General features: G+C 56.0%; 1 protein-coding gene across 1 annotated transcript, besides 3 other annotated features; it reads right to left on the bottom strand.

Moving 5' to 3' along the window:
- Positions 1–10511: 10511 nt before the first annotated feature.
- On the bottom strand, positions 10512–19180 carry LGALS3BP (galectin 3 binding protein). Its single transcript, NM_005567.4, has 6 exons — positions 19081–19180; positions 16397–16471; positions 15222–15413; positions 13945–14076; positions 12227–12479; positions 10512–11961 (listed from the first exon to the last, which is right to left on the bottom strand). Exons 2-6 carry the CDS (start codon positions 16446–16448, stop codon positions 10833–10835), a joined length of 1758 nt encoding a protein of 585 aa, NP_005558.1. The 5' UTR covers positions 16449–16471; positions 19081–19180; the 3' UTR covers positions 10512–10832.
- Positions 14344–14638: an enhancer, noted in NCBI's record as "tiled region #6708; K562 Activating non-DNase unmatched - State 8:EnhW". NCBI's record gives its function as "activates a minimal TATA promoter and a strong SV40 promoter by Sharpr-MPRA in K562 cells {active_cell/tissue: K562}" and the evidence as "EXISTENCE:reporter gene assay evidence [ECO:0000049][PMID:27701403]".
- Positions 15433–16116: an enhancer, noted in NCBI's record as "H3K4me1 hESC enhancer chr17:76972258-76972941 (GRCh37/hg19 assembly coordinates)". NCBI's record gives its function as "activates a minimal SCP1, AML or CMV promoter by ChIP-STARR-seq in naive H9 embryonic stem cells {active_cell/tissue: H9 hESC(naive)}" and the evidence as "EXISTENCE:reporter gene assay evidence [ECO:0000049][PMID:30033119]".
- Positions 19214–20206: an enhancer, noted in NCBI's record as "H3K27ac-H3K4me1 hESC enhancer chr17:76976039-76977031 (GRCh37/hg19 assembly coordinates)". NCBI's record gives its function as "activates a minimal SCP1, AML or CMV promoter by ChIP-STARR-seq in naive H9 embryonic stem cells {active_cell/tissue: H9 hESC(naive)}" and the evidence as "EXISTENCE:reporter gene assay evidence [ECO:0000049][PMID:30033119]".

The following is a 22180-nucleotide window of genomic DNA, read 5'->3' on the forward strand; positions in this document are numbered from 1 at the left end:
AAAAAAAAAAAAAAAAACCCACAAAAAAATATATTTTTTGAATAAGAATATTTTGAATAAGAATATATATTTCTTATTCTCTCACAGCCCTGACTGAGCCCCTTGCAAACAGAGCCCCCAGTCCTCTCCCTGGTGCCCCTGAGCTTGGCCTGGAGGAGTCTCTGTGAGAATCTCCTGAATTGGGCTTTTGAATGCACATGGGTGAATGCACACATATGGTGTGTGCATATGTGCAGACAGAACACACATGTAACACTTGGAGCGCTAGCGTAAGCAGGAGGGAGGTGTGGAAGACAGGCCTGCATTCTTCCTCTGCATTTTGCAACTGCCACAGGCTTGGCTTCGAGCTCCTGGCTTCACCCCAGTGACATTCTTTCAGAAGCCCAGCTGCTGCCACATCAAACCATTTCTGTCCAGCTCTCACTCAGGCCCAGCCACCTCCATGGGCCACACGAGTGGGGCACGAGGAAGCCCAGCCTTTTCAGGGAGTTCATGAGTGTATTTGTGCAAGGGTGTGGCTAGAACCTGGGGTGTGAATGCCTCAACAGCCAGGAGGCTGCTGTTAAGAAATAGTTCACTGCAGCCAGGCGCAGTGGCTCATGCCTGTAATCCCAGCACTTTGGGAGGCCGAGGCGGGTGGACCACCTGAGGTTGGGAGTTCGAGACCAGCCTGATCAACATGGAGAAACCCCATCTCTACTAAAAATGCAAAAATTAGCCAGGCATGGTGGTGCATGCCTATAATCCCAGCTACTTGGGAGGCTGAGGCAGGAGAATCGCTGGAACCCGGGAGACAGACGTTGCAGTGAGCCGAGATCATGATGCCATTGCACTCCAGCCTGGGCAACAAGAGTGAAACTCAGCCTTAAAAAAAAAAAAAAGAGTCATCCATGAATCCCCTCCCCAACAAAGGTGCTAACACAGGTCACATGCTCTTCTCCCTCCTAGCCAAATCCATCCCAAACCAATTCCCACAGCAAAGAGGATGGAATTTCCCATAGTCCCTCCCTCAGATCGCCCCAGGCTGCTGCCCAGTGGGATGGTTCCCTGAAGGAACATATAGGTCATCTGGGGAATGAGGAAGAGTGGGGAATGGAGACTCAACAGACAACCAGTGAATGTTCTATACAGGATTGTTCTGCACGTTGCTCTTTTGAAAAACTTGGGCCAGGCACAGTGGCTCACACCTGTAATCCAGCACTTTGGGAGGCTGAAGCGGGCGTATGGCTTGAGGTCAGGAGTTTGAGACCAGACTACTAGCCAACATGGTGAAACCATTCTCTACTAAAAATACAAAAATTAGCCGGGCGTGGTGGCGGGTGCCTGTAATCTCAGCTACTTGAGAGGCTGAGGTGGGAGAATTGCTTCAACCCGGGAGGCGGAGGTTGCAGTGAGTCAAGATCGCACCACTGCACTCTGGCCTGGGCGACAGAGCGAGACTCCATCTTAAAACAAAAAACAACAACGACAAAAAAACACTTGATGTTGTATCATGAAGATCCTTTATGTCAGTACATATGGGGGCCACAAAATCCTTCTGAGTAGCTCTACAATAGTCCACTCTCCGGATGCCCGGAATGAACTGAGCTGTCCCTCAATGCGTGGAATCTCCTTCTGCCTTTGTGAAGCCTGCCTCCATGTGACCTGCAAGGCCCAGGTCGCTGCTCTCAAGTGGCCTCGCGGGGCTTTGAGCCTGGAACAGGGCTCTCAGTAAGGCAGGAGTGGTTCAAATGCTTGCTGTGGGTGGTGACATCAGCCACAGCCTGAACCCAGTGTCCCCTGAGGGCGGTGAGCAAGTCTGTGTCAATTCCAGCCAGATTACTCCGGGTTCAGAGGTCCTCAGCTTCCTGGTTATGGCCAATTACAAATGGTCATAAATTCTTCAAAGCGACCCTCATCAGGAGGTGGAGTTTATTTTCCACCTTTGGATCGACGCTGACCTTGTGATGTGTGTGTCTAAGCCTGGACCTCAAGAAGCCTCGCATGTTAGGCTGGGCGTGGCGGGTCACGCTTGTAATCCCAGCACTTCGGGAGGCCAAGGCGGGCATATTGCTTGAGCTCAGGAGTTTAAGACCAGCCCGGGCAACATAGCAAGACCGGGTCTCCACAGAAAATTTAAAAATTAGCCAGGTGTGGTGGCGTGTGCCTGTAGTCCCAGCTACTCAGGAGGCTAGGGGACGGAGTGGGGAGGATTGCTTGAGCCCAGGAGGTCAAGGCTGCAGTGAGTCATGTTCGGGCCACAGCCATGATCATGCCACTTGCACTTCAGCCTGGGCAACAGAGCGAGGCTCTAAAAAAAAAAAAAAAAAAAAAAGGTTTTTTTTTTTGAGACAGAGTCTCGCTCTGTTGCCTAGGCTGGAGTGCAGTGGCACAATCTCAGCTCACTGCAACCTCCGCCTCAGCTCACTGCAACCTCCGCCTCAGCTCACTGCAACCTCCGCCTCAGCTCACTGCAACCTCCGCCTCCCAGGTTCAAGTGATTCTCCTGCCTCAGCCTCCCCAGTAGCTGGGATTACTGGCACGTGCCATCACGTGAGGCTAATTTTTGACAGGGTTTCACCATGTTGGCCAGGCTGGTCTCAAACTCCTGGCCTCAAGTGATCTGCGCACCTTGGCCTCCCAAAATGCTGGGATTACAGGCGTGAGCCCCACTCCCAACCAGAAACAAAACAAAACAAAAAAAGGTTCTGCATTCCACATCATGGAACACTGCTACCATGGGACCAGGCCTGGCTTAGCGTCCACCAGAATGAGACCCTATGGAGAGAGGGGCCCCACCTTCCCAGCTCTTCCAGCCACCCCAGGTGAGGCCTCTGACATAAGTGAGCCCAGCCAACACCATGGGGAGCAAAGGTGAGCCCTCCCAGGTGAGCCCAGCTGAAATGACAACCCACAGGGTCAAGGCGGATGAATGGTTATTGTTCTCATGGTTTTTAGCCACCGAGTTTTGGAGCAGTTTGTTACTAAGCAAAAGTTAACCGCACAGCCACCTTACTTAATTCCCGCTCAACTCCTAGCCTTCCTATCAATTCTGTGACCTTCATAATTTTTTCCATAAATCTTTTTTCTGTTGAAGTTAACCAGAGGTGGTTTCTGTTGGTTGAAACTAAGAACACTGGCTGGTATAAAAATTAGTATGAGGCTGGCCGGGCGCAGTGGCTCACACCTGTAATCCCAGCACTTTAGGAGGCCGAGGTGGGTGGATCACGAGGTCAGGAATCGAGAGCATCCTGGTTAATATGGTGAAACCCCGTCTCTACTAAAAATAATAATAAAAAAAATTAGCTGGGCGTGGTTGCGAGTGCCTGTAGTCCCAGCTACTCGGGAGGCTGAGGCAGAATGGCGTGAACCTGGGAGCTTGCAGTGAGCCGAGATCGTGCCACTGCACTCCAGGCTGGGCGACAGAGCAAGACTCCATCTCAAAAAAAAAAAAAAAAAAAAAAAAATTAGTACAAGGCCAGGCACAGTGGCTCACACCTGTAATCCCAGCACTGTGGGAGGCTGAGGCAGGTGGATCACCTGAGGTCAGGAGTTTGAGACCAGCCTGGTCTCACGGTAAAACCCCGTCTACTAAAAATACAAAAATTAGCTGGGCGTGCTGGTGCACACCTGTAATCCCAGCTACTTGGGAGGCTGAGGCAGGAGAATCTCTTGGACCCAGGAGGCAGAGGTTGCTGTGAGGCAAGATCGTGCCACCGCACTCCAGCCTGGGCAACAAGAGCAAAATTCTGTCTCAAAAAATAAAAGTTCATAGGAGCTTTACTCAAAATAACAACAAGAACAACAACAAAAACCACCCTCTGAAAACAACCCAAATGCCCATCCCCTGTAGACTGGGTTGATAACCTGTGGTATAGTCACGTAACGGGGTTCACTTCAGCTACAAAGAACAACGTGCGTGAATCTCATAGGCATTGTATGGAAGCCAAAAAGCCTGACACGACACTAGGGAGTGGGTACTCAGGTACGATTCCATTTACATGAAGTTCAAGAGCAGGAACAACTACTCTGTGTCGACAGAAATCAGATTTAGTGGTTCCATGGTGGAGGTTCTGACCTAGAGAGCCTTCTGGGGTGAGGGAAAGGTTCGGTATCTCTATCCGAGGGGTGGTGCCAGCAGTGTTTACATGTAACACAACAATTAACCAAGCTCTACGCTTCCCACATGTGTGTGTGTAATATACCAATAAAATGGTTTTTAAAAATCTCACTGGCAGGCAGGGTGCTGTGGCTCACGCCTGTAATCCCAGCACTTTGGGAGGCCCATACGGGAGGATTGCTTGAGCTGAGGCATTTGAGATCAGCCTGGGCAAAGTAGCAAGACCCCATCTCTAGAAAAACTCAAAAATTAGCTGGGCATGGTGGCACATACCTGTGGTCCCAGCTACTCAGGAGGCTGAGGTGGGAGGATCGCTTGAGCCCAGGAGGTCAAGGCGGCAGTGAACTATGATCACGCCATTGCACTCCAGCCTGGGTGACAGAGTGAGACACTGTCTCAAAAAAATAAAAATAAAGAGGAGCTCAGTCTCGGGATAGACAACTGAGAAAAGTTTTGTCCTTTTCTGCTACCTTCTTCTTGCTGCCTGAAAGGCAGAAGTGATGGCTGGAATCTCAGCAGCCATTGTAGATCATGAGGGTAGCCTTGAGGGTGGCAGGCATACAATAATGGTGTACAAATGGAAGAAGTCTACCTCCAGAAAGGGTGCCTTCTCCCTTTTATGTGTCAGAAAATAACAAAAAATGTCATATAGAGTCCCTGCTATGTTGGGCTTTCATGATAGGAAGCTGAAGCTAAAAATATCTAGTACAGGTGCATGCATGAGAGATTCTGGCTTTGTGCGCTAGCTTGAGCAGCTGGGAGCAGTGCTAATTATCTTCTCAATTGCTTGACTGAAAACTGGAGTCACGGATGGCCCGTGAATTCCTCAGTGTGTTGTAGAGAAAAGAATCCAAGGCATCGAGGAGCCAGGTGCCCTGGAGTGTGTGCCGTGTGCAGTCAATTGCTGGCCTTGACTCTGGACAGACCCAGGAAGCTCTCCTCCCCCAAAAGCCCGCCCAGGGAAATGTGCAGGGAAGGAGGAACCAGTCTCCTAGAAAATTCCCTGCGGCTGCTCTGTGTAGGTCAGAGAGGCCCTCTGGAGATGCTGCAATTGAAATGCTTCGTGATGGCCATAAGGTGGAGGTGCACAGGACCAAAACAGGCAGGGAGCTTGCAAAACCCTCACATGATCTGTAGTGTTAGAAAAGCTCAAGATCCGGGATGGGCGCGGTGGCTCATGCCTGTAATCCCAAACACTCTGGGAGGCTGAGGCAGGTGGATCACCTGAGGTCAGGAGTTCAAAACCAGCCTGGTCAACATGGTGAAACACCGTCTCTACTAAAAATACAAAAAATTAGCCGGGCGTGGTGGTGCGTGCTGGTAGTCCCAGCTACTCGGGAAGCTGAGGCAGGAGAGTCGCTTGAATCCAGGAGGTGGAGCTTGCAGTGAGCTGAGATTGTGCCACTGCACTCCAGCCTGGGGGACAGAGTGAGACTCCACCTCAAAAAAAAGAAAGAAAGAAAGAAAGAAAAGCTCCAGATCTGGTGAACAGAGGCACCTTGTGCCATCACGACAGAGTCGTAGCCTCTCACCCATTTCCTGGATCACCCAGAGCCCCTTGGAAGGAAGGGTGGTCAAATCTCTTACAGAAAGGACCCTGTAATAAAATGACAAGGACTTACAGTACCAAGAATCCGCTTCCTGGCCTTCCCCAAAGAGGCTCTTGGCCGTGAACCCGGCGACCGAGCTCCAGGGCAGGGGTTCGGCAGCTGTCCCGAGGACTTGGTGAGTAGCTTCTCGTGAGTTACACCAGATGAAGACGGCGCTGCCACTGTTTCAGATGTGGCTGATTGGAGTAAATGAGCACACCCCGCACGTGGATGCAGCAGTGGCTGACGGCAGCTCCCTCCCCCTCTCCCTATCTCGGTCTGTCTCTCCTGCGTCCACACACACACATGCGTGCACACACATGCACACACACGTGTCCTGCCTCAGGAGTACACCGGCTGTCTCGTTCTGCTTCCTGCCAACTCATGATGCTACAGTCATCACACTGGACCAAAGTGAACCCCAGTGGGTGCCCTATGTGTGTACCCCTTGGTGCCTTAGAAACGGGCCCAACCTTGGCTAGATCTCTGTGGACTTTTGAGGGGACACATGCCTTACTTGGGGAGTGGCTCCTGCCTCTTTACTAGAGACCCAAGTCTGGTGTCAGAGCACGAGGCCACTGTCTGCTGGTGCAGCTGCCTTGCCTGTGACCTTAAGATCCGTTAGGCCAGGACGTGGGGCTTGAGATGCAGGAAGCTATGCTGATGGGCGTGAGGGGCCCGCGGCAGGCCCGCTGGGAGGACCACCCAGGAGCATCCAGCGGTTTGGAGCTGAGCAGGGCCCTCTTTGGCAGGGAGATTCACTCCTTCCAGCACAACCAGCTTTGGCCCAAACATTCGAGCATGGGTCATGAGCTGCCCTCCATGAGCTGGAAGGACACAGGTGGACGTGGCCCTCAGGAGCGCGGGCAGTCTCTGGAGACATGGGTGATTTTCATCTGTGCCAAGGCTGCCCCACCCTCCACCCAGGGCACCTGGGGCTTCCCCCAGGGCCTTATGGTGCATTCCCTAATACCGGTGACGGAGGTGACGGAGGTGACGGAGGTGGGAGAAACGCAAGCCTGTTTCAGATTGCACTGCGGGCTAATTCCAGGTGGGAGTGGCCTGTTGCCCAGCAGAAAGGGGACCTCGCTTTGGGCAGAACCCGGAGTGGCCAATCTCAGTTTCCGTGTGGATGGAGGGAAGCCGGCCTTGGCCACGTGACCTGTGGAAGCAGCTCAGGGTTTGATCAGAGATGCCAGGGCTGGAGGGAGGAGGATGGAAGAATGAGTAGCCGTGAGCTTTGGGAAGAGAGCAGGGACCGGCGTCTTGGGATGGCCACAGAGATGAGGATGCTTCTGTCCCCTGACTGTTCCCTGAAAGGCCCCACTGCAGTCCTATGCTGGGGTGCCTACCCCGGGGTGTGGGGACAGGTGTCACAGAGTGTCACTCTGCACCTCTACAGCCTCCAGGGCCTCCTCTGCTGAGAGGTGGCCTGTGGGGAGGGAGGCTTTGCACGGGCTCACCACTGCCATGTCACCAAGGCTGATGGGAGCGGACCTGGCGCTCCTGGGCCTTCGCTCGGCGCCTCGATGCCCATGGGGAGCTCCGGCTTCCTGAAGGCCGTGGCTTGCAGCCGACCCCTTCCATCGGAGGAGGCAGCCGCTTGCTCCCCAGGAATCGACACTTACTCTAGATCTGAATGCCCCCATCCTACACGGCCCTCAGTGCCACCAGCCCTTCACTGACTCAACACCTTTCCCACCCTGTTGGCCACCCACAGACATGCAGGTGACTCAGGAGCTGCAGTCAGGCCGTGGGCTCATGGTCACATGTGTCACCTATCACACATTCAAGGGCTCACGAAACAGGAAGGCTGGGATGAAACCTCAGGCTCAGGAGGCCAGTGAAGGGAAAAATGCAAGAGCCTGGCTCTGCGGACGTGCTGGGCGGCAGATGAGACAGCCCCGGAAGTCCCTGCCTCCAGGTCCCCCAAATCATCCTTTCCTCCCTCCCTGTAGACAAGAAAATGCTGCCCTCCACCTGTGGACGCACCAGCTCAAGGAGCCCATCTGCATTTCTCCTTGTTCAGAATGCACAGCAGTGAGCCATGGGGCCCTGAGCAGGGCGCCCATCACCTAGTGCAAAGGTTCTGCTTCTAGTCCTGAAACCTGGGTTCTGTTTTTTTGTTTGTTTTTTGTTTTGTTTTGTTTTTTTTGAGACAGAGTCTTGCTCTGTCACCAGGCTGGAGTGCAGTGGCATGATTTCGGTTCACTGCAACCTCTACCTCCCGGGTTCAAGCAATTCTCCTGCCTCAGCCTCTTGAGTAGCTGGGATTACAGGTGCGTGTCATCACGCCAGCTAATTTTTGTATCGGGGTGGGGGGGTTTTCACCATGTTGGCCAGGATGGTCTCGATCTCTTGACCTCGTGATCCGTCCTCCTTGGCCTCCCAAAGTGCTGGGATTACAGGTGTGAGCCACCACACCAAGCCGACACAGGGGTTTTGCACCCAAGAGAGGAACGTTTCCACGATGAGACATCTCCACGTTCCTTCAAATTGGCAGTGAAGATGGGGATTCGCCTCTGGGACCACGGTGCCTGTGGGTGAACAGGTGAAGAAGGGAGGAGTGTTTCGGAGGCTGGGATGGTCGGTCCTGACTGTCCCGGGGGAACAGGGCTGCCGCTCAAAACTGCAAGCAGCACGGAAGAACTCCAGTGACTTCTCAAACTCCTGCATCTCCCAGCCCCACACAGGGCTATGGCCTCCCTTGCAGGCAGGACCCACGGGGCTCAGAGTTCCCTGGAAGGAAGACTCCAGTTACCTTCCCTGGCCGTGAGATGCCAGGGAGCACGGAGCGGGAGAGAAGAGAGCTGCTGTGGTCCTGGGACTGACTCGAGAAATGGAGGCTGTGATTCTGGTCTTTGCCATGTCTGCCACGCCTCTACCGTGACATCGCTTTTCCTTCTTCCTCCTGATCTCATTGTGGTTTGTCCCCAACACTGGTCTTGGCAGTGGTCCGTGGCGACGTGGCCCCTCGGTTGCTAAAATGTCAATAGGATCAAAATAGAGGTGGAGGAGATAGGCCGGGCAGAGTGGCTCATCCCTGCAATCCCAGAACTCTGGGAGGCTAAGGCGAGCAAATTGCTTGAGCCCAGGAGTTCGAGACCAGCCTGGGCAACATGGCAAAACCCCGACTCTACTAAAAATACAAAAAAAGAAAAAAAAATTAGCCAGGCCTGCTGGCGCACATCTATAGTCCCAAGTACTTTGTAGTCCCAGAGGCTGAGGCGGGAGAATCACTTGGGCCCAGGAAGCAGAGTGTGCAGTGAGCCAAGATCGTGCCACTGCACTCCAGCCTGGGCGACAGAGTAAGACACTGTCTCAAAACAAACAAAAAACATGTGGAGGAGGGGATGTCCTGCCAGGATGGTGGACCTGGGCTGGACGCAGGATCTGGAGGTGGGGGGGTTGGGGGAGCAGAGGCCTCCATCCAGTACAGGGAGCAGCTGCCTTCACAGGCAGGAGGTTTTGTGAGACTGCTTTTGTTCCTTGTGGCACCTGTGGGGAGAGGGTGGGTGGGGCGTCTGCTGCCATCTTGGCTGTTCAGCACCTGAACCTCCCTCCCATTAGGGGAGCCCCTGTGCCACCTCCTGTTCCAGAGGCCACACTGTTGTCCTCCCAGACCGTGGCACAGCGGCAGGTGCCAGCCTGAGCTCGGCCCAGCAGGTGCCTCCCTGGGGACTCTGTGCCTGCAACGGGCCATGGAGAAGCAGGGGCAGTTTTGAATTCCTGTTGGTGGTGAGCGACGTTCTGTGCCCAGAACCTGCTGTGGCATTGTCACGGATGTCCCCCCGGCATCCAATGGGTCCCCCAGCCTCCCCTGAGACTCTGTGGTTCCCAGGATCTTCCAGCGCACCTCTACCCGCCTCACTCAGCCCAGGGGAGGTGCCTTTTATTTGTAGTCAAGCACCTGTTGGTGGGTATTGACGTCGTTTCCAATTCTTCACTCTTACAAGGCTGAGATGAGAATCTCTGTCCCCTGTCCCTGTGGACCAGGATTTCCAGAGCGAAGGTTCCTAACTCCTGCTGTTCGTTCTCCCTCCTCCCAGCTTCCACAGTCTGCTGTCTGCTGCTCTCCATGACCCAGCCCGGTCACGTCTTCCAGAGACCCGATCGCCCCGCCGGAGGTGCAGCCCTGACCTTGCCACCTCAGCACCCTCTCCTTCCGGTCGGACGTGAGCAGGAGGTAGTGCTGGCAAAAGCACACCCACCCATAGGCCAGGCACGGTGGCTCACGCCTGTAATCCCAGCACTTTGGGAGGCTGAGGTGGGTGGATCCCCTGAGGTCAAGAGTTCAAGACCAGCCTGGCCCACATGGTGAAACCCTGTCTCTACAAAAATACAAAAGTTAGCCAGGTACGATGGCAGGTGCCTGTAGTCCCAGCTACTCAGGAGGCTGAGGCGGGAGAAGCACTTGAAACCGGGAGGTGGAGGTTGCAGTGAGCCAAGATCACACCACTGAGCTCCAGCCTGGGCGACAGAACAAGATTCTGTCTCAAAAGTAAATAAAATTTTAAGAGCACACCTACCCAGATAAGGGGTGAGGGCACCCGTCACAGCCAGACTTTCATGAGCACACACACGCCTGTGCACATGCAATCACACACCCACGTGCACGCATGCAGTGGCACGCACCCTCCTGCTCGTGTCCCACTGTGTCATTGCTCCGGGCTGGGAGGTGTGCTTCCTGTTCCCTGTCTTCCCCGTTAGCCTGTAGCTTCACAAGGACAGGGACTCTGCCTCATGACCTGTCCCCCAGAGCCTGGCACACCTGATGTCTAAACACGGTGTGGACCCAACAACACTTTCTGTACAAACAAATGTAGGAACCTCAATGTAATTTTAATGACCTCAGACCAGTGACAAGGGCAGACTGACCAGGGGCTGTGGGGGGATCCCAGAGCAACCTCGAGGGCGTCCTGGTGCTTACCACCTGGAAACTGGTGAGGTGGTGGGAGAACTCCTGGTGGACCCTAGTGGAAGCCTTCCAGTAATTTCTTGAAGCTGAGCGCTCAGGTGAGTAGGGCGACATCTGGTGGCCGGTTGTTGAAGGTCATTGCAGAGAGGAAGGAAGCCGAGGAGGGGAGCCTGCAGTGAGGGCGTCCTGGGGTTCTCCGGTTCTCACCACCCTTGGGCCACGCCGTCTAGTCCACACCTGAGGAGTTGGTCAGGTAGAAGGGGCGGATGACCGTGCGGAAGCCGTTGAAGTGCCCTGCCGGGCAGGGGAAGGAGGAGGTGCTCTTCGAGCTGTTGGTGTCCAGGGCACTGGGAATCGCAGCCTTCCAGCCCTCGAAATCGGTGACGTCTGCCACGAAGAGCCCTTCGCAGAGCATCAGGGCTTTGTTTTCGTAGGCAATGGTGCGATCTGAGCCGCCAGACTTGGTGAGGCCCAGGACAGGGAGCTCGTCCGAGGAGCAGGAGAAGCCGTAGTTCCAGCAGCTCTGGATGGTGGGGAGGTAGACCAGGGACCAGGACACCCTCTTGTCCTGGAAGAGGAAGCTGGGGTGTTGTGGAGTCTGGAAGGACTGGTAGGGGTAGTATCTGTAGTCAGAGGGGGCTTGGAAGTAATCAGAAGAATATTTGACCAAAGGCCCCCGTCTGGACTGATAGACCAGTTGTGACTTCCGTGCACTCCAGGAACTGTCTGTCACAAAGGCACTCCAGGTGGGCGAGGTGTAAATCCGGGGCTTGTAGGTATCCTCGGTGAGGTTCAGGCCTTTGTACCGGGCCAGCAACTGGAAGGGCACAGTGTGGAATTCCAGGGCCTGCAGAGTCTTCTTCTGGAACAGGGCCTCGTGGCTCCAGTACAGGGACAGGTTGAACTGCAGCTCAAAGAGCTCCTCAGGGAGCATCATGGGGAAGCGGATCTTCTCCACCAAGCCCTCCACCTCCTCATGGGAGGCACGCTCCCCCCAGCTCCAGGTGTCCACGGCCTTCAGTAGGGCCAGCTCGCTGGGCACCGCCAGGTCGCTCCTGGGCAGCAGCAGTTGGAGCAGGTCTGTGGGGACACTGGGCCAGGCCTCGGCCTGCGTCAAGGCCTCGAAGTTCCAGGCCAGGAACTGTAGGCAGAGCTTCTCCAGCAGGGCGTCCCCTGTGGCCACTGCATAGGCATACAGGTCCAGGGGCATCTGGAACGAGGGGTCCTGGGGGAGGAGGATGGCAAAGAGGCTTGCGCAGTAGCCCTGCAGCTGCCTGGCCCCATAGGCAGAGGCCAGCTTGTGGAAGCACTTGACTGACGACAGGGTGATGTCAATCCTTCGGGAGTAGAAGTACCTGGGGAGAAAGAAGGAGAGCAGATGCCGGCCCCACAGGACAGCAGGGGAGCCCTGGGCCCAACTGTCCAACACAGCCACCTGAGTGCACACAGTGTGGGAGTGAGCATGCGTGTGTGTGCAACTGCGTGAGTGCATGTGTGACTGCGTGTGTACATGTGCATGCATGAGTATGTGCAGGTGTGTGTGTGGGGGGCTGTGCTTTTGAAGAGGGGAGGAGGACAAAGCCCCTGGCGGCCCCAGAGCCTGAGGACGAGACGGCTCACCTGAGAAGGTCCCTGACCATGGGCACACACTCAGCATCCACACTCATGGTGACATTGCTGCCCGGCTCCTTCCACAGGGCCTGGGCCTCCAGGTTGGCAGTCAGGATGACCGTGTGGCCACAGAAGCCCAGGGCGTCCTCGCCCTGCACATTCACGCTGATGGACAGGTCGCAGCCCCGCTGGCTGTCAAAGATCTGGCCAAGGGCCTCCGAGAGCTCCCTGGAGAGGTCCAGGGTGTGGGTGCTCCTGGTTTCTAAGAAGGGGCGGGAGGGAAGTGGGCTGCGTTAGGAGCCGGGGCACTGCCACTCTCTGGGGTCAGTGTCTTCATCTGAAAGTGAGGGATTTGTGGCTGCCTCATTCACTCTGGAAGGCTCCTGGGAAGACGAGGGACAAGAGAGACCGGAAGTGTCGGATTCCTGGACCCTGAGGCCCCGCCCCTTCCAGCCCTGGGGAACAAGAGCAGCTAGGACCTGGCCAAGCCTGTCCAGGCCCCCGCTTTAGGCCCTCTGCTCTGTGCTGCTCCCCCGACTCAGGCAGCAGCTCCGCATGGAGACTTGGTGGTACTGACTCCGGAGCCCCCACTCCCCAGCCTTGGTCACCAATCACCACTAACACCAAAACCACTGCCTGCTTAGATGGCCTGAAAAGTTAGGGTCCTGTGGCAACCCCATTTTAGAACTCCGGGGGTCCTCGAGCAGCTTCCTGTCGGGGAGAAGGCCTGCAGAAGTCATGGGAGGCTCCCGGCTCGGGGGTCAGTGTGGTGCACCCTCTCCCCTTCTTTGAGCCCCTCTCAAAGCCTAACTCAAAATGAAATCCCATAGGTTTTTCTTCGCCACAAATATAGTAGTTTTGAAGTAACTGTGACCTTTCAACCAGGTGGGCTTGCCCTGGGCCTCCTAAAACCTGAGCCACCGCAGGACCCCCAGCTCCCTCCCACCTGCACGCCTTACCACAGCTCTCCTGCCCCAGGAGCTTTGGCCGTGCGCCCATGGCCCCGTGTGCTCCCCGCCGCCTCCCCTGGCCCCCGACAGCCCCATGGCGTCTCCTGGGCTTCCCCCACTGTGAGTCCAGGCTCAGCTCCAGCCACTTGTCCATCCCATGTGGGCACAGGGGCTCCCTGGGATTCGACCCGTCCTGCCTTAGGGGCCTCCAACTCCTGGCAAAGGGCAGTGGGCAGGAAATGCCCAGGTTGTCACGTGCAAGCCCAGGAAGAGCCACCTCGGCATGAAAGAAAAACAAGAAACTCAGATCCAGAGGCTCCAACCTGCAGAGCAGCCTGGGTTCCCTCCAAACTGGGCCAGGTTGGGGGAAGCAGGCTGAGGCTGCGAGTAGCCGGGACTCCCTCCGCCAGGACGGGCTTGAGCCTGTCGCGTGCTGTGAAGTGTATTTCTGAGCGGACGCTGGCATTTCAGGTCAGGCTGGAGCCAGGTGTCATGCTCACTGAAACTGTGGCTCACTGCCCCACACTCGGGTTCTGCATGGAGACTTGGTGGTTCTGGGTGTTTCTCCAGAAGGGGCTGGGGAGGAGTCTGGGACTGTGGGACTGGGAGCTGGTGGGCTCTTGGGACGTCTGGGCCTCTCCATGCGGAGTGGGCAGGCGGTAGTGGAAGGAACCTTTGTGTGCTTCATGTGCGTGGGGGGGTGGTGCTGGGAGGGGCAGGGGCCACGGGACCCCAGGGCACACTGGGGCCTCCGCAGGGAGGTGCGCCCCCGCTCACCATTGGTGCAGACCACACCAGCGTCTCTCTCGTGCCTGCAGTTGCTCTTCAGCCAGCCCAGGGACTTGCAGTCGGCCAGTGAGGCCTCGGTTCCCGTGCACTGGACCTCATCCAGCATGATGGGGCCTGATCCTGTGGACACAGCAGATGGCAGGGCTGGGGGCGTGACGACTGCACCCAGGAGTCCCACAGCGCGACTCAGCCCTTTGTTCTCCGCCCCGGCCGTGTGGGTCCATCTGCTTACAGGTCCTTCACCAGCGAACCACGGAGGATATTCCAGCATGGGCTGGATTTGTGATTGCAATGTCAGGCCATAAACTTAGCCTTCATGCTTATAAAGCTTACCGGCTGCTTCAGCGACATCACATTCATGTATAGTAATTGTGTGACTATCCCTGCAACATCAGTTTCACATACTGTAATTGTGTGACTATCCCTGCAACATCAGGTTCACATACTGTAATTGTGTGACTATCCCTGCAACATCAGGTTCACATATTGTAATTGTGTGACTATCCCTGCAACATCAGGTTCACATACTGTAATTGTGTGACTATCCCTGCTGCTAAATAGTTTATGGATTGTTTCTTTTTTTTCCAGAATCGCAACTGCTGTGTCAGTGGAAATCTTCCTGCAGACTTTTCTTTTGAGGAGAAATTGTTTCAATGGGATAAACTCCCTGGAGTGGAGTTTCTGGGCCGGAGGGAACGAGCCCAGCCGAGCTCTTGAACCTGCCCAAGCACCCGCCACCATCACTGGCCAAGTGTGGGTGGAGCAGTCCCATCAGAACTTGATCCGCAGGCCTTCAGCACCATTGAAAATGTTTGCTCATAGGCCGGGTGTGGTAATCCCAGCACTTTGGGAGGCTGAGGCGGGCGGATCACTTGACACCGGAAGTTTAAAAACCAGCCTGGCCAACATGGTGAAACTCTGTCTCTACTAAAAAATACAAAAATCAGCCGGGCATGGTGGCAGGTACCTGTAATCCCAGCTACTCAGAAGGCTGAGACAGGAGAATCACTTGAACTCAGGAGGCGGAGGTTGCAGTGAGCCGAGATTGTGCCACTGCACTCCAGCCTGGGCAACAGAGCGAGACTCCATCTCAAAAAAAAAAAAAAAAAAAAAAAAAAAAAAAAGTGTTTGCTCTTGCTAAATTAATAGGAATCCAATTTGCATGTCTTTGAAACCTGACTGTTTCGTCTTAGGGGATTTGCCCCTCCTGGGAGCTGGCTGTGCTGTGGGTCTCAGCCTCAGTGGAAGGGGACAGCAGGCCCTACCTTGCCCGAAGGCAGCTCTGCCCAGAGCCTGGGTGGCGTTCTCGAAGCCCAGGGCCCGGCAGACGACGCTGGCATCAGTCAGGTCCCACAGGTTGTCACACACAGTGCCCCACTGGCCTCTGTAGAAGATCTCCACGCGGCCCTGGTTGGTGGCGCCCCCATCGGCCAGCCGCATGTCACCATCGTTCACGCCTGCAGGCAGAGACCAGCGAGGGCGAGGCTGGGGCCTGCAGCACCCACCGCCCACACCTCCAGGCCCCATATGCTGTCCTGGGTCTCCCCTGCTGAGCTTGTATTTCAGGGCTTCAAGGTCCCCTGGCCTCTCCATGAGGGGCACCTCCATGAGGGAGGAGTGGAAGATACATACAGCCCCCCCTACCCCGCAAGGAGGCCAAACTCGCCTTTCCTTGTTTTAGGGGTCTCAGCCCTTCACTCCATAGACAGAACAGGGGCAGAGAAGCCCTGAGTTCTCCAGCACTGGGAGTGGAGGTGGCAAGACCCTGAGGGAAGGATAGGAGGGGAACGGAGGCCCCGTGCTGACCCGCCCTGCAGAGGGTGTCTGCAGTTTGGGGGTGCTGGCCTATGGGGGCAGCAGGCCTAGGGACCCCTGGGAGCACAGGCAGAATGTTTCCAGGGCAGATAATGGGATTCCCCCGCCCCACATGTCCTTCTGGGACTCAGTCCACCAACACTCCAGCCCCTACAGGAGCTGACAGAGCCGGGCAGGAGCTGGGTGCCTGAATCCAGTCGGGGGTACATCTGGCTTCCATGGGGCCCCCAGGATGAGCATGAGCTTCCAGGGGCTCACAGTGTAAAGAATGTGAGGAAAAGCAGCCAGGACCCTCTGGAAGACTGACCTGCGTCCAAGGCCACTGACCTCACAACGGCCCCTGTGACTGCTGGTTTGATCAGCCCCTCTGGTTCCCTCTGGACGGAATGGAGGATTCCCTAGTGTCCTCTCTATAACCTGCATCTCACCTGAACCCAGGTGAGCCCCCGGGAACCTCCAAGTCATCATCACTGGGGATACCTGGTGCTTCAAGCAGGAGAGAAGATCTGGCTAACCGCTGGGCCCCGGGCCCCAGGCAGAATATCTCCTTGAAGCTCTGAGCAGCCCCAGGGTGCACCAGCCTTCCACACTTCTGCTTTTGGTATTTCCCAGGGGCTCAGCTCACCTTGGGTTCCTGCAACCAGCAGCCACACCCAGAAGAGCCTCGGAGGGGTCATGGCCGTGCCTGGATGCCCAGATCCTGCAGCAGACAGAAGCGGAGGGGTGAGGCACGGGAGCCAGATGGCCCGAGGCCCCAGGGACTGGCCTGCCCATTCACCCTTCAGCCCAACCTGGGCTGTGTGGCAGGCGGGGTCCCTCTCTTGCAGAGCCCACTATGATCCCAGTAAGTGTGACGTGTGCTGTGGATGCCCCCGCGGGGGCCCCTCACCTGGTCTGCAGTGTGGTCCTGGAAGGATGTGTAACACTTGGCTAGATGAAGCGTGGGCTGGGGGCACCCCCTGGCAGTAAGGGCAGCAAGAATTGGTGACTAGAGGCAAGTGAGCTCATCTCAAAAAACCAGGCCCCGGGCAAGGCTGCCACACGGGCATGGGCGGGGAGATGGAGGAGGCCACAGGCGTGGGCCCAGGTCGGGAGGCCGGGTGAGCCTGGTTAAGATCTCGGCCTTAAGCTTCAGGCAACAGACCCCTGCAGGGACTGTCCCAGAGGGTCTCAGCAGGCAGAGACGAGGCTGCAGCCTGGAGAGTGGATGGGAGGGGACTCGTCAGGAGAGGGCACAGAATCCGGGCGAGGGGTGACAGAGATAAGTGGCAGGGAGATATATCGGGGCTCCGTGGTGTTCCGATGGGGAAGATAGATGAAAAGGGTCAGGGCTGCAGCCCAGGGTGGGCCAGGCTGGGGGAAGAACAGGGAGGAAATGCTGAAGTATCCCCAAGACACTGACACTCAGGCCAGGACTGGGGAGGTCCGGGTCTCCACCTTCTGGCCTGGTGTTCTTGCCTCCGTGTAATTTCCACGCTTTTGTCTTCGTCTGCCTCCCTCCCCCACACCCTGCCAATGGAGAGACAGTTATGGTTTCTCTGGCTCGGTAAGAATCCTGTGATACCTGACACTGTCCCCTCAGTTCAGCAAGCCTGGGGCAGGCCTCTGGGTGGCACTGCTGTGGGCACCGGCTGGGAGTCTGGGCCTGGTGACCTTGAGGCTGCTTGGAGGGGGCCTGGTGGACGGCTGCAATGGCATCCCCAGAGCTTGTCGGAAATGCAGTCATGGCTGGCCTTGCCCTAGCCCCTCTGCATGGGAGTCTGCATGAACAAGCGCCCTGGGAGCTGGGTGCACTGGCTGGTGAGCAGCTTTGCTCTGGGACTCGTGCTCGCTGGCACTGTGCAGCCACCCCTTGTCGGGGCTCCCCGGGCACCACTGGAGGCCTTACCGTGACCCTGAGAACCACCTTAGTTACACCTCACCTTACAAGTGAATGAGCTGACACCCAGAGAGGCAAATGGGCTCCACATCCACAGTCAGTGAGCCACAGGCAGGGGGTCTGCTCGGGGGAGCCCACCTCTCCTCCCTGTGTCAATGTCAGTAGATGGCTAAAGGGGCCAGGGTGTGACCGCCTGTCCTGTGTGCTGGGGACTGTGCTGGTTTTAGCACTGAAGTTTCCCTGTGTCCTGGGAAACCCCTCAGTCCCAGGCACGCCGGTATGGGTGGACGCCCTCTCCACTTCTGCCCCCAGCCACTTCACTCTGCTGCAGCCACTAGGTTTGTCCGTCCTGGGAGAGTAACTCAGGGCCTTGGAAAAATGGCCAACTGGCCAGGCGCGATGGCTCACGCCTGTAATCCCAGAACTTTGGGAGGCTGGGGCAGGTGGATCACTTGAGGTCAGGAGTTCAAGACCAGCCTGGCCAACATGGTGAAACCCCGGCTCTACTAAAAATACAAAATAATAATAATAATAAGCTGGGCATGGTGGTGTGCACCTGTAGTCCCAGCTACTCAGGAGGCTGAGGCAACAGAATTGCTTGAATCCGGCAGGCAGAGATTGTAGTGAGCCGCTGCACTCCAGCCTGGGTGACAGAGCAAGACTCTGTCTCAAAAAAAAAAGGGGGGGGGGCAACGAAGCACCTGGCAGGTGGCGTCGCTGCCCTTTGTGTGGCAGCGGCTATTTTTGCCTGATTCCTTCATACAGTTGAGACCCGGCTGCCTGTGTTGGCCCCTTCGTGCAAATCAGAAAAAAAGGTGCTCTTCCTTGGAGTGGGTGCAGGCCTAGGCCAAATGCACAGGTCTGAGAGAGGGCCAAGCTGAATTCTAACCCACTTGCCCTTTGGCTGGTATCCTTGTGCAGTGAGTAATCTGCCCAACTGTACACAGAGGCCCTGTGGGCCTGGGAGCAGCAATGATTGTTGCTGGACTCAGGAGCCCTGGATCCCCAGCTCCAGGCCTATGTGCAAACAGGGAGGCATGACCCCCACTTGCCTGTGTAGAGAGAGGGGTGCCCTGGCCGGGCGCGGTGGCTCACACCTGTAATCCCTACACTTTGGGAGGCCGAGGCGGGTGGATCACCAGAGGTCAGGAGTTTGAGACCAGCCTGGCCAAGATGGCGAAACCCTGTCTCTACTAAAAATACAAAAATTAGCTGGGCGTGGTGGCACGCGCCTGTAATCCCAGCTACTTGGGAGGCCGAGGCAGGAGAATCGTTTGAACCCAGGAGGCAGAGGCTGCAGTGAGCGGACATTGCATCACTGTACTCCAGCCTGGGTGACAGAGTGAGACCCTGTCTCAAAAAAAATAAAAATAAAAAAGAGAGAGAGACTGAGAGGGGTGCCCACCTGAGAGCTAGAGGCAGGAGCTTACCTGGCTGCGGTAGCTGCAACGGCCGTGTGGAGCCTCCTCGCTTCCAGCCACAGGATCCCTCTGCAGACTGGTCCTTTGACCCAGAAGCCTCTCCCAGTATGGAGCGTGGTCAGGCTGATCCCAGGAAATGCTTCAGAAAAGAGTCTACTTTCGATTTCCAGAAACCACCTGACATAGATGTCTTCCGGGATTGGCTGCTGCTGATACTCCCCAGGGCCCCTCTCTTTTGTCTCAGCTCTGCCTGTGGCTATCAGTGCCAGGCTGGCAGAGGCCCAAGGTGGGAGTCTGGCTGGAGCAAGGCCTGCAAGAGGACTAACAGCCACACTCAGTTGGAAAGGCCGCCAGGCTGGTCAGGGGCTGGCGTTTGGTGGACGGGAGGGGAAGAAGCAGAGGCTCTGGGCCCAGACAGTCTGCACCTGGTGGTGTGGCTGTGGACTCTGACAGAGCGCTCCGAGTCTTTTCCTGGGTCTAGCACGTTGCTGGCTGGGTGAACACCACACAGGGGGCTGCTTATGTGCAAATCCACCCTCTCTGTGCTCTTGGCATGCTGACCACACAGAGGGCCTGTGCCCCACAAGGTTGCATGGCACTGTCCCCTGTCCCCAGGGGAGGGAGGCACTGAGAACCAGGTATGCAGCTGGCCAGTGGAGGAGCTGGACCCTGCTCCAACACCTGACCCCAGAGCCTGTGCTCGCCACTGCTGGACCTGTGGCCACTCTCCTACTGTCTCCCCCTCAGCGGGGCGGGGGACAGAGCCTCTCTGGGTGACATAATGGCTCTGTCCAGCTCATACCCATTCCCTTTCCTCCCACTGAAAGCCGGCACCTCAACTGTCCCTTGGGGAGCACCCCCTCCCATTCCCGGCTGTGTGGTTCCCAGAGGGCCCCCAGCTCTTGGCCTTCAACCACCCAAGGCCTGGCTGTCTGAGCCCTGCGGGGGCCCCGGGCCACACTGCTGGTTTCAGGGTGGGGCTGTGAGCCCAGCCAGCCGGTGAGAGCCAGCTTCTGACTGAGAGGATGTGGGCCCAGGCTGCTGGGGCCGGTGGGGCAGAGCAGAGGGAAGCAGGCATCCTCCGGCCTGAGCTCCTGGGTCCAGCTGGCCTAATCCATGGTCAAGGCTGGGCTTCACCGCTCAGTGAGGCAATCAGCAGCCGCTCTTGTTTCTGTCACTTGCACCCCATGGTTCTGGATGAGCCTTGGGATGTGCCCAGGCCTCTGACCAGTGGTTCTCAGCCTGGGCTGGACAGAAGAATCATCAGGGAGTTTTACAAACTCCTAATGCCTAGACCCAGGAAGTCACCATCTCTGGGAGTAGGGGACAGGCAGGGGCATTTAAAAGCCCCCAGGCAGTCCCACTGGGTGGAAGGCCCTGGTTCCCTGGCAGCTTAGAGTCCGAGACAGCCAGCCCAGAGGTCAGACATTCAATGACTATTTCCTTCAAGGTGTGAGGTTTTAGGCAGCTGCACGGTTTGCCTAATCCCCTCCAGAGGAACTGTGAAGATCCAGGGGCAGGTGCAGCTGGAAATAGAACTGGCTGTGGGGAGTTTAAAAAAATCTCATCTGGATTAAGGGCCTGAGTGCACAGAAACCCCAGCATCATCCCTTCTCAGCAGTGCTAATGACTTCTGCCCAAGTGGCCAGGGAAGGACAGGAGTGCAGAGGACGGGAGGGCATCTCTGGGAAGTGCTGGGAAAGGTTTTAAAACTCAGGTGCCGAATCTTTAGCCCCAGAGTCCGGGAAAGTCCTAAGCCATCCAGGCAGGTAAAATGGAAAACCCAGAGGCCTCCTCGTGGAATCGGAGCACCAACATCTGCTCCCCTGGGGCTCGCAAGGCCTTTCCGGTGTGCGATGACCATGGGGTGGAGGGAAGCGCTGACAGGGGACAGGCAGGGGAAGGGGCAGCGGCTCGGCTCTGAGAAGACAGCTGGGTGAAAGCCTCAGATTCGTGTGGACAGAACTGCTGTCATCAGGAAGCCGCTCCCAAGACATGGTAGGGAAAGTGCGGGGCATTTCAGAGATGAGAATGGTTAACTGGCCTGTAAGGTCATCTTTTGTGCCTCTACCCCAAACCTCTCCGCAAATTGAGGAACGCTCCCTATAATAGCTAATATGGATTTCGCCAGGCATTACTATAAGCCTTGCCACAAATGAATGCATTTAATACTTCCAGCCATGATGGGAAGCAGCTGCTCTTATATTCCCTGTTACAGATGAGAAAACAGAGGCTCAGTGAGGCGACGTAATCGGCTAAAGTTGTGCAGCTGGTAGGGGAAGAACTGGGGTTTCAAACCCATCCTTTCCTTCTTTTTAAAAATTGGCTTTCTTGGCATATAATTTACGTGCAAAGTTTTGGCAAATGTGTAGCGATGGTATCATGACAACAATCATTACCTAGGGCGTTTCAATCACCCCTAAGAATTCTCTTATGCCCCTCTGCAGCCACCCCTCCCCCCAGCCCCTTCCCAGCAACCACCTCTCAGCTTCTGCCACTGCTGGTTGCCTTTCCTAGAATTCCCTCTATTTTGTCTTCTTTTTTAAGACACAGTCTCCCTCCATTGCCCAGGCTGGAGTGCAGTGGAACAATCTCGGCTCACTGCAATCTCTGCCTCTCAGGTCCAAGTGATTCTCCTGCCTCGGCCTCCCGAGTAGCTGGGATTACAGGTGCGCCCACCACCACGCCCAGCTAATTTTTGTATTTTTAGTAGAGAAGGGGTTTCTCCACATTGGCCAGGCTGGCCTCGAACCCCTGAACTCAGGTGATCCGCCTGCCTCTGCCTCCCAAAGTGCTGGGATTACAGGCATGAGGCACCACTCCTGGACCCTAGAATTCCCTCTAAATGGAATCATACAGTATTTAATATTTTGCATGTGGCTTCTTTTACTTACCACAGTGCTTCTGAGATCCATCCATGCTATCTCAACAATCAGTAACTGGCTCCTGGTTTTGCTGGGTGGCGGCCCACTGTATGGACAGAACACCACTGTTAATACATGTTTGCACTGATGGACATTTGGGTCATTCCATCTTCCACTATTATGCATAAAGCTGCTGGAAACATTTGGATACAAGTCTTTGTGTGAAAATAAGTATTTATTTTGTG

This window comes from Homo sapiens, chromosome 17 (assembly GCF_000001405.40).
Source record: "Homo sapiens chromosome 17, GRCh38.p14 Primary Assembly".
Taxonomy (NCBI): Eukaryota; Metazoa; Chordata; class Mammalia; order Primates; family Hominidae; genus Homo; species Homo sapiens.

Bases quoted from the DNA above. Each gene is read 5' to 3' on its own strand.
- LGALS3BP (NM_005567.4), bottom strand. From the start codon at position 16,448: ATGACCCCTCCGAGGCTCTTCTGGGTGTGGCTGCTGGTTGCAGGAACC. The intron at 12,480-13,944 runs GTGAGCGGGGGC...GCCCCTTCTTAG, and splicing joins TGGTGTGGTCTGCACCAATG to AAACCAGGAGCACCCACACC. The intron at 11,962-12,226 runs GTGAGCCGTCTC...CTTTCTCCCCAG, and splicing joins ATGGTCAGGGACCTTCTCAG to GTACTTCTACTCCCGAAGGA.